Source organism: Homo sapiens, chromosome 18 (genome assembly GCF_000001405.40).
Source record: "Homo sapiens chromosome 18, GRCh38.p14 Primary Assembly".
Classification (NCBI taxonomy): Eukaryota; Metazoa; Chordata; class Mammalia; order Primates; family Hominidae; genus Homo; species Homo sapiens.
Window position 1 is genome coordinate 9,667,519 of NC_000018.10, and position 15,935 is coordinate 9,683,453.

At 41.1% G+C, this 15,935-nt stretch overlaps 1 pseudogene, besides 1 other annotated feature; it reads right to left on the minus strand.

Annotated features, from left to right (window-relative positions):
• Positions 5,883 to 5,932: an enhancer, noted in NCBI's record as "active region_13077". NCBI's record gives its function as "activates an Ori minimal core promoter by ATAC-STARR-seq in GM12878 lymphoblastoid cells {active_cell/tissue: GM12878}" and the evidence as "EXISTENCE:reporter gene assay evidence [ECO:0000049][PMID:35858748]".
• Positions 10,668 to 11,280, minus strand: KRT18P8 (keratin 18 pseudogene 8; annotated as a pseudogene).
• Between the last annotated feature and the right edge of the window lie 4,655 nt (positions 11,281 to 15,935).

Here is a 15,935-nt window from a genome sequence, read left to right on the forward strand (position 1 = left end):
CACCACCGCGCTCCAGCCTGGGCAACAGAGTGAGACTCTGTCTCAAGAAAAAAAAAAAAGAAAGAAATGCTATGTTTTCTGGAGTGACTGAAATATTTGAATTGAAGGGGAGGGATGTGTTTGATGGGTGGTATAGATAAAATAAGATTGGTCAAATATTGATGTAATTGTTAAAGCTGAGTGACATGAAGTCATCATTCTCTTCCACATGCAAAATCTACTTTTGTGTATGTTTGAACATTTTCACAATAAAAAATAGTATTGGGAAGAAAAGGTATATATCTCACCCTATTCTGGGATAAGTAGGCCTTAATTGTAAAAACTGAAACCAGAAAAGGAAGAAACCATGGGAGAATTGTTTTTGCAATTTCTTTTTCTTTTTCTTTTTCTTTTTTTTTTTTTGAGACGGAGTTTCACTCTTGTCGCCCAGGCTGGAGTGCAGTGGCGCGATCTCGGCTCACCACAACCTCCGCCTCCTGGATTCAAGTGATTCTCCTGCCTCAGCCTCCCGAGTAGCTGGGATTACAGGCACCTGCATTATGTCCGGCTAACTTTTGTATTTTTAGTAGAGATGGGGTTTCACCATCTTTGCCCAGGCTGGTCTTGAACTCTTGACCTCAGGTGATCCACCCGTCTCAGCCTCCCAAAGTGCTGGTGAGAGGTGAAGCCAGCTGGACTTCCTGGGTCAAGTGGGGACTTGGAGAACATTTCTGTCTTACAAGAGGTTTGTAAAATGCACCAATCAGCACTCTGTAGCTAGCTAGAGGTTTGTAAAATGCACCAATCAGTGCTCTGTGAAAACACACCAGTCAGTGCTCTGTAGCTAGCTAGAGGTTTGTAAAATGGACCAATCAGCACTCTGTAAAATGGACCCTCAGCAGGACATGGGCAGGGACAAATAAGGGAATAAAAGCTGGCCACCCCAGCCAGCCCCGGCAACTCCCTCAGGTCCCATTCCATGCTGTGGAAGTTTTGTTCTTTTGCTCTTCTCAATAAATCTTGCTGCTGTTCACTCTTTGGGTCCATGCCACCTTTAAGAGCTGTAACACTCACCGCGAAGGTCCACGGCTTCATTCTCGAAGGCAGCGAGACCACGAACCCACTGGAAGGATCCAACTCCATACACACTGGGATTACAGCAATAAGCCACTATGCCTGGCCTGTTTTTGTAATTTCAAACTATGTCAGGGTTCTCTCAGAATGACTGACTTTGTATTAGTCTTCTAATGTAACTGTCTTCCACTGGTTAATATTTTATTAATACTTCACTGCTATCATACATGACAGGTGTCAGTTTATTTTTCTGTGTTTTTGTCAGGTTTTTATGTTAGTGTTAGGGTATCTTTTAATGAAATGAATTGTTTCATTTTCCATTTTTTTCCTTTTTTAGGGGAGAGTTCTCTTATTAGTCAGGGTTCTCCAGAGAAACGGAACCAATAGAATACATAGAGCCCAAGAATTGGGTCTTGAGATTATGGAGGTCCTAAAATCCCCTGATCTACCATCTGCAGGCAGAGAACCAGGAAGACCTGTGCTGTATTTCAGGGGAGGCAGTCATGTAAGTTCCAGTTCAACTCTGAAGGCTCAAGAACCATGAGTGCGGATGGCTGAAGGCAGCAGGAGATGGAGGTCCCAGCTCAAACAGGAAGCAAATCCACCTTCCTTCCTCTGCCCTTCTTGTTCTATTCAGGCCTTCAATGGATTGGACAATGCCCCCTCATGCTGGGGAGGGCCAACTGCTCTACTCAGTGTAGTTCACATGGTACCCTCCTCCAGAACACTCTCACAGACACCCAGAAGTCATGTTTCACCAGCTATCCAGGCAACATTCAGCACAGTCAGACTGACGCAGAAAATTACCCAGCACATCCTCCACCGACTTGTTCATTTTTGTTTCTAGCAGTGTTGTTGTTGAGGCTTTTTTACCCCCTTTTTCTCGTTTACTATGATGATAAACTGTTGAGTTTTTACTCAATATGCTTCAATCTTCTCTTCAAGCTAGTTCCTGTGTCCTTTGGCGTTAACCTTGTAGTCTCAGAGATTTCTTGCTTTCTGATATAAGAGATTCAGGGTTGGGCACAGTGGCTCACACCTGTAATTCCAGCACTTTGGGTGGCTGAGGTAGGAGGATTGCTTCAGCCCAGGAATTTGAGACCAGCCTAGACAAGATGGCAAGACCCTGTCTCTACAAAAAATTTAAAAATTAGCTGGGTGCAGTGGCATGTACCTGTAGTCCTAGCTACTTGGGAGGCTGAGGCTCAAGGGGACCACTTGAGCCCAGAAATTGGAGGTGGCAGTGAGCTATGATCATTCCACTGCACTCCAGGCTGGGTGACAAAGTGAGACTCCCATTGCTTTCTTTACTTTTTCTTTTTTTTTTTTTTTCAGACAGAGTCTCGCTCTGTCGCCCGGGCTGGAGTGCAGTGGCAGGATCTCGGCTCACTGCAACCTCCACCTCCTGGGTTCAAGCAATTCTCCTGCCTCAGCCTCCCGAGTAGCTGGGATTACAGGCGTGTGCCACCACACCCAGCTGATTTTTGTATTTTTAGTAGGGACGGAGTTTCACCCTGTTGATCAGGCTGGTCTCGAACTACTGACCTCAGGTGATCCACCCACCTCGGCCTCCCGAAGTGCTGGGATTACAGACATGAGCCACTGTGCCTGGCTGAGACCCCCATTTTTAAAAAAAGAAAAAAAAAAGACATTCAATATTTCTTTATGCCTGTAGTCCCAGCACTTTGAGAACAGTCTGGACAACATAATGAAACTCCGTCTCCACAAAAAATATAAAAATTAAACAGGTGTGGTGGCATAAGCCTGTAGTTCCAGCTACTCGGGAGGCTGAGTGGGGAGGATAGCTTGAGCCTGGAAGGTAGAGGCTGTAGTGAGCCAAGATCATTCCACTGCAATCCAGCCTGAGTGAAAGAGTGAGACAGTGTCTCACAATAAAAATACACACATAAATAAAAAAGTATTTCTCCAAGAAGCCCTGGTTCCTTTCCATGGAAAATGGTGTTTAGAGACCACAAAATGAATGCTAGATATACTTACTGCTACTGTATTGCCATGGCTTCTAGGCCTCTCAAGCTTTCAGAGCTGGGAAAAGCCTATTAATTTTTTTTTTCAAAAGGGATATACATCATGAGTTCATACTTACTTTTTTTTTTCTTTTTGAGATGGAATTTCACTCTTGTCACCCAGGCTGGAGTGCAATGGCACTATATCGGCTCACTGCAAACTCCGCCTCTTGGTTTCAAGTGATTCTCCTGCCTCAGCCTCCTGAGTGGCTGGAAATACAGGCGCCCACCACCATGCCCAGCTAATTTTTTTTGTATTTTTAGTAGAGATGGAATCTTGCTATGTTGCCAAGGGCTGGTTTCAGACTCCTGGCCTCAAGTGATCCTCCTGCCTTGGTCTCCCACAGTGCTGGGATTGCAAGCGTGGGCCACCACACCCAACCCATACTTTTCAATTCAAATTAAATATTTCATGGTTTTTATTTTGTAATTTTATATTTATATCTTTTCCCTCTTACATCATATAGCTTGGTTCCTAATAAAATTAACTTAATTATTTCATATGTAGAGATAAAGATAAATAGATTACGTGTCCATGTGTGTGTGTGAGCACACATGAATGTATATAATGGTGGCTTAATAATGTGTCAATTTGGTTAAACAGAACTACATTTTCCAGAATTCCCTTCCTGGTAGACGTTTGGTTAGAGTTGGACACAGGGAAATTTGTGAGATTTGAAAGGCAGCAGTCAAGAAGTAGCAGTGCTCACCCTCTGAATGTTGGGCTAGGCTAGGCCCTGTTGGAACTCATGGCATGTGCAGGCCTGCCGGCTCCTCTGTTGTGCAGACAGAGTCCGGAGGCAGAATCCTCCAGGCCCCATGTGATCTCTTCCTGCAGCTTCTCCAAGTTCTGGGCCAGGTGTGAAGACAGGAGAGGTAGCAGTGGGGTGAGGCAAGGGAATTTCTGCTCGGCCCCATTTCACATGCATTTTTCCTTCCTGACCACGGCCTTATGACTTCAGGCTCAGTGTCAGGCGTAAAGAGCCAAACGGAGGCTGTCTAGCCAGCTCCCACAACTGTGTAATGTCAAATCCCTTTAGGAATCCTTCATGCTCTATTATTTCTAGCGATTCTGCTTCTCTGATTGCATCCTGGCTAGTATTTACGTATATACATCATACATACAATGTGTATATCTTTCTGTGTGTATGAAATAATTTTAAAATATCAATACTAACATTACTACTAATATCAACATAATTTAAGATTTCCTTGTGATTCTTTTTGTCTCCAACACAATATATTTAGATAAAACATCTTTCCTCCCTGATCTGAAATGTTGCTTATGTCTTATACTAAATTTCTATATTTCTTTTGGTCTAGTCTGGACATGATGTTCCAGATGATCTTCTTTTTATTCATTTTTTTTTTTTAAAGGCAGCATCTCACTCTGTTGCCCAGGTTGGAGTGTGGTAGCACAGTCATGGTTCGCTGCAGCCTTGAACTCCTGGACTCAAGTGATACTCCCTCCTTAGCCTCCCAAGTAGCTGGGACTACAGGTGCATGCCACCATGCTTGGCTGATTTTCGTATTCAAGTGTCAGTACCACACAATTTTAATCACTGTAGCTTTAAAATATATTAAAATATCTGATAGGGCCACTCTCCTCTTATACCATTTTTTTAAGATTTTGTCTGACCTTTATTGTTTGTTTGTCCTTCCTATGAAATTTAGAATTCATCAGTTTACTTTTAAAAATCCTGTTGATAGTTTTATTGGTAACATCAGTTTTGATCACTTATATTTTCTTAGAAAATTATCTATTCCACACACAGTAAATGTTTTTTTCACCAAAATCTCACTTATTAACTTACTGTTTAACAACAAATGTATGTTGACTCTCCTCTTGTTTTCTTGGTAACATTTGTACACAAATTGTCTATTTTCTTCAGCGAACCAGCTCTTGGATTTGTCTACCAAATGTGTTGTTTTATGTTTTCTAATTTATCCATTTTTTGCTCTTGACTTTATAATTTTTTCCCTTTGTTCCTTTTAGGAAAAAATAAATTAGAAGAAAAAAATCATTGTATATAAGAAATACCTGTTTTCAATGTAAATGAAGGTTTTATTTTTCATTTATTCACTGAATAATTTTTAAAGCCTCCATGTTCTGAATTTGGTACTAGCCAGTAAGAAAATAAAAATATCCTTTATATAGGGAAATAGAAATCATTCCAGCATATAAATGCTATCAGAGTCTCAGGAATGCTTTTCTGGAACATTCCAAAGCTGAATTGGCAGGCTCTGGCTTTTCTCTGGCTCGCATCCTCACCACCTGGATGGTTTCCCTAGTTATGATCTCCCTACCCATAATGGAACAAGAGTTCTTAGAACTGGGGTCGGCTGGGCACAGTGGCTCACGCCTGTAATCCCGTAATCCCAGCACTTTGGGAGGCTGAGGCATGGGGATCATGAGGTCAAGAGATGGAGACCATTCTGGCCAACATGGTGAAACCTGGTCTCTACTAAAAATACAAAAATCAGCCAGGTGTGGTGGCACACACCTGTAGTTCCAGCTACTCGGGAGGCTGAGGCAGGAGAATCGCTTGAACCCGGGAGGCGAAGTTTGCAGTGAGCCGAGATGGCGCCGCTGCACTTCAGCCTGGTGACAGAGTGAGACTCTGTCTCAAAAAAAAAAAAAAAAAAAAAGAGAGCTGGGGTTAATCATTCACCTGCATTGACCTGAGATGCCTTAGTCATGGTTAGTTCTCCCACACTTGTTCTTCAGAAACCTCTGAAACCACACCCTTGTGAGGTAAGAGGCCTTCCAGTCAACAAGTCATGCAGTTCTCTAGCTACCAGGGAAACCTGATTAGATACTAATAACAGGAACCTCTCGGCCAGATGGCATCCACTCACCTCTGTGCAGGGGTCAGGCATTTTAGTGTGCACTTCCTCAAACAGTCTAACCATTTCTCTTATGTGTTGTGCATGGTGTCAACCAGAACGAAAACTTCCCACTCTACAAGTGTATAAGGCAGTAAAAGATGCTGCTTTCACCTATGAGTTTCTGTAGCACACATGCTTCCTCTTCATGGCTTGATACCAGCACGGTGGATCCCACAAGGGCGTTTTAGCTTAGAGTCACTGCCCTCTAATGTTAGAGGTTAGAAATCACCCAGAGGCTGGTCCAACCTCTTTGCAAAGAGCAGATTGCTCAAGGACACAGGCATCTGGGAGAAGAGGGTGGTTACACACCCTTATTCCCAACACTTGCCATTCCCATCATGCCCCATATTTCTCATCTGTCAAAAACAGGAAGCAATAGCGTTATTGAATACTATTAGTGTGAGTACTAAAGAAGAAAATATATAATGTGCTTAGTGCAGTCACTATACAAAATTTAGGAAGTGTAGGCTTAAAAAATATTTTATTAAAAATGAGGTTTCACTGTGTTGCTCAGGTTGCACTAGAATTTCTGGGCTCAAGGGATCCTCCCACCTCAGCCTCCCACGTAGCCGGGACTCCAGGCACAACACCATGCCCTGCAGTGTAGGCTTACATTTTAAAAAACGTTTCATCTGGAATCTTCAACACTTCAATAGTCATGGTGTCCCTGTGTTCCTAGAACCAGATGGTAAAGAAAATAGAACAGTCTTGGGTTGCAAAAATTTAGGTATTTATCTCAGAAAACCAATGAGCTGGCTACATTTTTTTCTGCCTAAAAAATGTTCAGAGGTAGCAATCTGGCTGTAATCAGAGATGTATTTCATAGCAAACTTAGAGTTTTTACTTGGATATCATGTTAACTTGCATAGCATCTAAAACAGCACAGATTTTTATTCAATTTGCATAATATTGAGAAAAAGGTCAACTTTCCATACAAAAAATATCATTTTTGTGGATTACCGCTGGGAGGTGCTATGAAGGTAACAGGGTAGTTAAAGCCCTCTCTGGAATTCTTTTCTTCCACTACTGAACATCTTTGTGGTTTCTCTTAAAACAATTCAAAGCAGCAAACGTTTTTAACCAAAGCTTTAAATAAATTAAGCCCTGGGCCATTTTACAACTTATTTTCTACTCTCCCGCCTTCCAGCATGAGCTTAACAAGAAAATTTCAGTATCGAGTTCATAGAGTTTTTACCGTGGTGTATCCTCTGGTGACCTTTCAGTATTCATCTGACATTAAGCAATTGGAAGTCCTTGTCTGAACCAAGGATCGGTGGACTTTTTGGCACCAGGAGTTTTCCTCTTCAAAAATAATAGATGGGGCCACGGTCTATTGAAAATACATGGGGAAAAATGAAGTCCCCCTAAAAATGAGAATGTTAGATGCTAAAAAGAGATAAAAAAAACCTATCCAGATATGATAGGAAATAGTACTGGCTAAGGAGGACTTGAAATAGCTTTTGACTACCATCTTCTGCTCCTTAAACTGGTTACCCAGTGTGGCTCACCCCGATGTCGTTTGAATATCCTCTTTTTCCACATAGATGAGACTCCAAAAGAATGTGCAGTGAATGGACAATGCCTGTGCCTCTGCTTATGTTGAGACAATGACCAATGTTGGTTGCTTGTATTTGGAGCACAGTGAGGAGTGGGCAGTGGATTTGGCAGACGTAGCGCAATTTGTTTATCCATTCACCTGTTGAATTTGGGTTGTTTCCCATTCGGGGCAATTAGAAATAGAGTGCTCTGAGCATGTGCGTTTGTTTCTCTTGATAAATACCTAGGAGTGTAGTGTCTGTCTCATATGGCAGGTGAATGTTTAAGATTTTAAGAAAATGCCAAACTCTTTTCCAAAAGGTTTGTAACATTTTACATTCCCACCAGCAGTGTATGAGGATTCCAGTTGCTCTATATCTTCACCAGTACTTGGAATGATCTGTCGTTTTTTTTTTGTTTTGTTTTGTTTTTGAGACGGAGTTTCCGCTCTTGTTGCTCAGGCTGGCGTGTGATGGTGCAATCTCAGCTCACTGCAACCTCCGCCTCCCAGGATCAAGCAATTCTCCTGCTTCAGCCTCCCGAGTAGCCGGGATTACAGGCATGTGCTACCACGCCCAGCTAATTTTGTATTTTTAGTAGAAATGGGGTTTCTCCATGTTGGTCAGGTTGGTCTCGAACTCCCGACCTCAGGTGATCCATCTCAGCCTCCCAAAGTGCTGGGATTACAGGCGTGAGCCACCGTGCCAAGTCAGAATGATCAGTCTTAACTTTAGTCATTCTAATAGGTGGGTAGTGGAACCTTACTGGGGTTTTAATTTGCATTACTTTAATGTGTAGTGATGTTGAATATCTTTTCTATTGAATATTTGTTTGCTATTGATATCTTCTTTAGTGAATCTTTGTTCAGATCTTTTGTCCATTTTTAAATGTTTTTTCCTGAGTTTTGAAGGTTTTTATATATTCTACATACAAGCTATTTGTCAGATATGACTTGCAAATATTTTCTCTGAGTCTGTAGCTTGGCTTTTCATTCACTTAACGCTGTCTTTTGAAGAGCAGAAACTTTAAATGTTAATAAAGTCTAATTTATCAGTTTTTTTTAATAGGTCACGCTTTTGGTGTTATATCTCAAAATCCTTTGATTAACCCAAGATCAGATAGATTTTCTTCTATTGTTTTTCTAGAAGTTTAATACTTTTAGGTTTTGCATTTACATCTGATTCACTTTGAGTAATGTTTTGATTATGGTGTCAGGTATGGAACAAAATTCTTTTTTTTCCATATGGATATCCAGTTGTTTCTTAGGGGGAAAGAATTTAGTCTTTCTATTAAGTATGATGTTAGTTGTCGGTTTTTGAAGATGCCCTTTATCAGGTTGAGGACATTTCCTTCTATTCCTAGTTTGCCAAGAGTTTTTAACAAGAGTGGCCATGATATATTACTACTTGAAAGTGGACTGTGATGGGTTAAATATGTCAAGTTGGTTGATTGTGTTTTTCAAGTCTTCTATACACTTACTTTCTGTTTACTTGTTCTCCCAATTATGGAGAGAGGGTTGTAGAAATCTCTAACTATAATTGTAGATTTGTGAATTTCTCCCTGCAATTTTTAAAATATTTTTTGAGACAGGGTCTCCCTCTGTCGCCCAGACTGCAGTGCAGTAGTGCAATCTTGGCTTACTGCAACCTCCACCTCCCAGGCTCAAGAGATTCTCCTGCCTCAGCCTCCTGAGTAGCTGGGATTACAGGTGCGCACCACTACTGCCTGGCTAATTTTTGTATTTTTAGTAGAGACAGGGTTTCACCATGTTGGCTAGGCTAGTCTTGAACTCCTGACCTCAAGTGATCCACCTGCCTCGGCCTTCCAAAGTGCTGGGATTATAGGCCTGAGCCACTGTGCCCGGCCCTCCCTGCAATTATATCAGTTTTCATTTCATATGTCTTTAAGCTCTGTTACTGTGTGCCTAAACATTTAGCATTATTCTTTTTATGAATTGATGCTTTTATCATTATGAAATGATCTTCTTTTTCCCTGGTAATATTTTATCTGAAATCTGCTTTATCTGGTACTAATATAGCCACTCCATCTTTCTTTTGATTTTCATGGTGTATCTTTCTCCATTATTTTGCTTTTAACTCCTTGTGTTTATATACATAAAGTACTGTCTCTTATAGGCAGCATACAGTTGAATCTTATTGATTTTTTATTTTTTGAGACAGAGTCCTGCTCTGTCCCCCAGGCTGGAGTGCAGTAGCACCATCTTGGCTTACTGCAGCCTCTGCCTCCTGGGTTCAAATGATTCTCCTGCCTCACCCTCCCCAGAAGCTGAAATTATAGGCATGTGCCACCACGCCCAGCTAATTTTTGAATTTTTGGTAGAGATGCGGTTTTGCCATGTTGGCCAGGCTGGTCTTGGACTCCCAACCTCAGGTGATCTGCCCACTTTGGCCTCTCAAAATGCTGGGATTACAGGCGTAAGCCACCATGAAGGGCCTTGAATCTTATTTTTTAATCCAATCTGAAAATCTTTGCCTTTGATTTAGGGTGTTTAGACCATTTACATTTAAAGTAATTGCTGAAATGATTTTATTAATGCTGTCATCTTGCCCTGTTTGGTATTTGACCCATGTTTCTTTATTCCTTTTTTCTTCTCTTCTGTCTTCCTTTGGTTTAGCTGAATACTTTTTATGATTCTGTTTTATCTTCTTTGTTGGCTTATTAGCTATAACTCTTTGTTGTGGTATTTAAGTGATAAACTCTAAATTTTATTTATTTATTTATTTATTTATTGAGACAGGGTCTTACTCTGCCACCCAGGCTGGAGTGCAGTGGTGCTATCTGGGCTCACTGCAACCTCTGTCTCCCACGCTCAAGCTATTCTCATGCCTCAGCCTCTTGAGTAGTTGGGATTACAGGCACCTACCACCATGCCCGGCTAATTTTTGTATTTTTAGTAAACATGAGGTTTCACCTTGTTGGCCAGGCTCAAACTCCTGACCTGAAGTGATCCACCTGCCTTAGCCTCCCAAAGTACTGGAATTACAGGCGTGAGTCACTGTGCCTGGCCAACTCTAAATTTTAGGGTTTATGGTATACATCTTTAACTTATTGCTATCTACCTTTAAGTAATATTATGCTATTCATGTATAGTATTACAATAGTATACTTCCATTTCTTCCTTCTTAGGCTTTTTTTTTTTTTTTTAACTCTGGACTTTTTATTGGCCTCCTGCTCCCCAAAGGGTACCCTGCTGCTGCTGGCTTAATGCCTCAGAACTTTGGTGTCATTGGTCTCAGACACCACTTTGCCATCCACTATCTGGCGGTTGGTGGTCTTTTGGATAGTTTGCATGGAGTTGCTGTTGTCCAGGGCATCACCAAGACTGAAGTCCTTACCATCTTCCAGCAGGCAGCGGTAGGTGGTGATCTCAGCCTCTAGCTTGCCCTTGATGTTCAGCAGGGCCTCTTACTCCTGGGCCTGGCGCTGTCCCTCTGCCCAGGTCTGTGCCAGCTCTGACTCCAGGTGCAGCAAGATCCCGTTGAGCTGTTTCATCTGTAGGGTGTAACGGGCCTCCACCTCCCTCAGGCTGTTCTCCAAGCTGGCCTTCAGATTTCTCATGGAGTCCAGGTCAATCTCCAAGGACTGGACTGTACGTCTCAGCTCCGTGAGTGTCGTGTCGCCTCAAAAGCTCCAACCTTGGCAGACGGCGTTGTGACCACTGTGGTGCTCTTCTCAATCGGCTGAGACCAGTACTTGTCCAGCTCCTTTCGGTTCTTCCGAGCTTGTCATATTGAGCCCAGATGTCTGCCATGATCTTGGCAAAGTCCTGAGATTTGGGGGCATCTACCTCCACGGTCAATCCAGATCTGGCAGTCTGGGCTTGTAGGCCTTTTACTTCCTCTTCATGGTTCTTCTTCATGAAGAGCAGCTCCTCCTTGAGAGCCTCAATCTCTGTCTCCAGCTGCAGCCAAGTGACATTGGTATCATTGATGACCTTGCGGAGCCCATGGATGTCACTCTTCACAGACTGGTGCATGGCCAGTTCTGTCTCATACTTGACTCTAAAGTCATCAACAGCAAGACGGGCATTGTCAATCTGCAGCACGATGCAGGCATTGTCCACGGTATTTGCGAAGATCTGAGCCCTCAGGTCCTCGATAGTCTTGAAGTAACGGCTCCAGTCTCTTGACCTGGGGTCCCTTCTCCAAGTGCTCCCCGATTTTGCTCTCCAGCCTCCGGTTCTTGGTCTCCAGGCTCCTCACTCCATCCAGGTAGGAGGCCAGACAGTCGTTCAGGCTTTGCAAGTTCTCCTTCTCGTTCTGGATGCCTCCCATTCCTGCCAGGCCCCCGGCCATTCCCACAGCCAGGCCCCCGGACCCCATGCCGCCCCAGAAGCTGGAGGAGTGGGACATAGAGATCCGGGAACCAGAGCCCCCGGCACCTGCATAGACGCTGGTCGTGCCTGGACGGAGCCCAGAGACCAGTAGTTGGTGGAGCGAGTGGTGAAGCTCATGCTGTTCCGGGAGGAGGGCGAGAGGACAGGACTCGGGCTTTGCCGAGGACTCCTTCTTAGTTTTAATGCTGCTATTGTCAAACATTTTGTTTTTATGTATGTTATATTTTCTACAATGCATTTTAAATAGTCATTTATCTTTAAAATATATTTAAATAATAACATATTATAAATTTACTCATTTAATGAACCATACATGGTGCTCTTTATTCCTTTGTGTAGATCTGAATTTCTGCCTGTTATCAGGTTTGTTTTTTTTTTTTTAAGTCAAAAGAACTTTTTATTATGGAAAATTTCAGAGTAGATAAAAGTAGAGAGAACAGTATAGTGAACCATGCATCTATTACCTACTTCCAGTGATTACCAACACTTCGTACTTTTTATATTTTCTGGCATGTGTATGTTTTATATATTAAAATAAATAGAAAAAAATATGAAAATAAAATACCATGTGCCTAAGCCATACTGCAGAACTATGGAGATAAGTCCTTGGGGTCTGAGCCCAGGAATCAGCATTTTAACAAACTTCTGCTCCAGTTGATATAATTTTACTTTTGCCTGAAGACTTTCTTTAATATTTCTTGTGTTGCATATGTGCTAGTGAAGATGTCTTTCAGCTTTTGTGTGTCTGAAAAGTTTTTATTTCATCCTTATTTTAAAAAGATAACTATCACCGTGTATAGAATTTTACGTTGATACATTTTTAACTTCAATTTGTTAAACATGTTACTCAACGTTTTTCTGGCTTGCATTGTTTATCACAAATAATCTGCTGTTCTTATCTTTGTTGCTTTTTGTAGATATGCCTTTTTTTTTCCTCTGGCTGTTTTTACCTTTTGCTCTTTATCTCTGGTTCTGATCAATTTTATTATGATGTGCATTGATGGAGAAACCCAAGGTCACAAAGGTTTAGTCCTTCATATTTTCTTCTAAGAGTTTTATAATTTTAATTCTTACATTTCAGTCTGTGATATATTTTGAGTACATTTTTCTGCATTATGTGAAAAAAGGTCTAATTTCATCCTTTTGCATATGGATATGCAATTGTCTCAGCACCATTTGTTGAAAAGACTATTCTTTCACCCTTGTGGAAAATCAGTTGACTGTAAATAAGGGTTTATTTTTTGACTTTGAATTCTAATCCATTTATATATATATATATATATATATGTGTGTGTGTGTGTGTGTGTGTGTGTGTGTGTGTGTGTGTGTGTGTGTGTCTATCCCTATGCCAATGCCACACTGTCTTAATTGTATCATTGTAGTAAGTTTTAAAATAAGGAAGTGAAATTCCTCCAAATTTGTTCTTTTATTCAAGATTGTTTTGGTTACTCTGGGGTACTTTAAATTTCCATATGAATTTTATCACCTTGTCAATTTCTGCAAAGAAGCCAGCTAGGATTTTAATAGAGATTATGTTGAATCTATAGATCAATTTTAAAATATATATTCTATCTTTTTATTTACTTTATATGAGGAGACACTGTCGTATCTTCCTTTATTTCTTTAATCATGGTTTTCTTTAGTTTTTAAAATATATTTATAATGGCTGCTTTGAAATCAGTTAAATCTGACACCTGTACCTTCTCAAAGATAATTTCTGTTGTCTTCCTTTTTTTTTTCTTGTGTATGATTTATACTTTACTGATTGTTGTTGTTTGGCAAGAGTTACAATTTTTATTAAAAAAACAGACTTTTAGATATTGTAGCAATTTTGCATACCGATTTTTCCCTTCCCTTCTTCCCTCCTAGGCTTGTTGCTATTTGCTTATTTATTTATTTAGTAAGTTGGCTGTACTATTTTAGTGAAGTCTATTTCCCTCATAGTATAAAGCTTCTGATGTCATTCTTCAGAGGACACAGACTTGGTCACATGCACAGTCACCCTGGGATGACAGTAGTTTAGTAGGGCACTTTCAACTATCTTTTTCCTTAATCTTTCTGTTAAGCTGTCTGCCTTTGTTTGAGTCACAACCAGCTCTTAGGCTGTACTAATTACCAATCAAATTCTTTATTGTGTTCAATAGTACCCTATGGATTAATTGCTCCACTGGTTGATCCTGTTAAATTCAGACACATTTGCAGGGATAGTTTTTGAAGCCAGTCTTTGAGGTTTGTTCTGATTCTAGGAGGGTTCTTCTTAGCTATCTCTTTTTTCAGTCCTCTCTGGTAAACTGGCTGGTCTATAATTTAGCTTGCTGCTCTCATGGAGCTACTGCTTCCTCTTAATTGCTTATCACCAAACTCTCCATTGTTTTTGAGAGTGGTCTTAGGCTTGAACTCCCTGACACTGTGCTCCAAATAAAGTCAGTTTCTTTGGGGAGAGTTTCAGAGTTCTCTGTCCTTACGGCCTGACTCTACCACTAGGAAAAATCTCTGAGTACCTGCTTCAGACCTAAGGGTAGGGACAGTGGGTCACTTTTCTTGGAGTAGCATCGTTGCTTTATGAGTGGGTTGGTGGATATGGGTGGTAGTCTCTGGTCTTCTCACCTTCTCTCTCCCAACTTAAAACCACTACCCTGTGAGCAAATGAGGGCCAGGACATGGGCCCAATATCAGATTGCCATGACTATGGTAGCACTACCTTCCTATGAGTGAAGAAGTGATGAAAGAAGAGAGCCTCTGACTTTTTGGGTGGATTAACCTATAATTTAGCCTCTGTAACAAAGAACATGGAGAAAGAGGATGAGAGATGCTGGCAAACTTTCTCTCCCAGAAAGATACCCTAGCCCTTGACTGGGAGCTTTGAGGAAAAGGAGTCTCATCTTTTTGGCCATGCCTACCTAGGGCCAGGCTTCCATCATGCTGGGCTGATGGGAAGGGAGGGAACAGGTTATGCCCAAGTGCCACAGAGTCTTGCTGTCTGTAGTGAGATTAGGTAGATTTTCTTGAATGTTTGTTTGTTTGCTGTATGACTTAGGACAAGTTTCAGAGACTTTCAGTGGTCATTGTTTCATAATTTTCACCAGTTTTGGTTGTTTTGTCAGGGGATGAATCCAAGGAGTGGTGGCCTCGTATCATCATTCTGGGTGTCATCTGACTGTTCATTTTTATGTACTTACTTATTTGAGACAGGGTCTCACTCTGTGACTTAGGCTGGAGTGCAGTGGCAATCATAGCTCACTGCAGCCTCAAATACCTGGGCTTAAGCTATCATCTCACCTCAGCATCCTAAGTAGCTGGAACTATAGGCACATGCCACCATGCCTGGATTAAAAAAAAATTTTTGTGGGTGGAAATGGGATCTTGCTATGTTGCCCAGGCTGGTTTCAAGTTCCTGGCCTCTAGTGGTCCTCCCACCTCAGCCTCCCAAAGTGCTGGGATTATAGGCAGGAGCCACTGTGCCCAGTCTGTTCATATTTTAAAATTCTCTTGTTCCTCTGGGTTTCATTATTGGTAATTCCTATTTTTATGTCTTCAAGTTCAGTAATCTTTTCTTACGTAATGTCTAGCTAGTCTTTATTTTATTTTTTAAATTTGTTTTTATAGGCAGGACCAACCAGGTAATTAATCTGCCTTTAATTCTAGCCAGTGAATTTTTCATATTGAACATTGCAGTTTTCATCTATAGAAGCTTGCTTTGAGTCTTTTTGATATTTTCCTTGTCTCTACTTACCTTTTGAACATATGTAATACAGTTTAGTGCCTTGTCTTCTAATTCTAACATCTGTGTCAGTTAAGGATCAAATTTAATTTGTTTTTCTCATTATAGGTTGTATTCTCAGGGATCTTTGCTTGACTGGTAATTTTTGATTGGATGCCAGACTTTATGAATTTTACTTAGTAGGGTGATGGACATTTTTATGTTTATATAAATATTTGTTCTAGAACACAATTATGTCACTTGTAAACAATTTGATATTTTCAGGTCTTTCTTTTTGAATTAGTTCGGCAGGACTGATTAGCATTTAGTCTAATTATTCCCTTGTACTATGTACCATCCCGTTAAAAGGAAAACT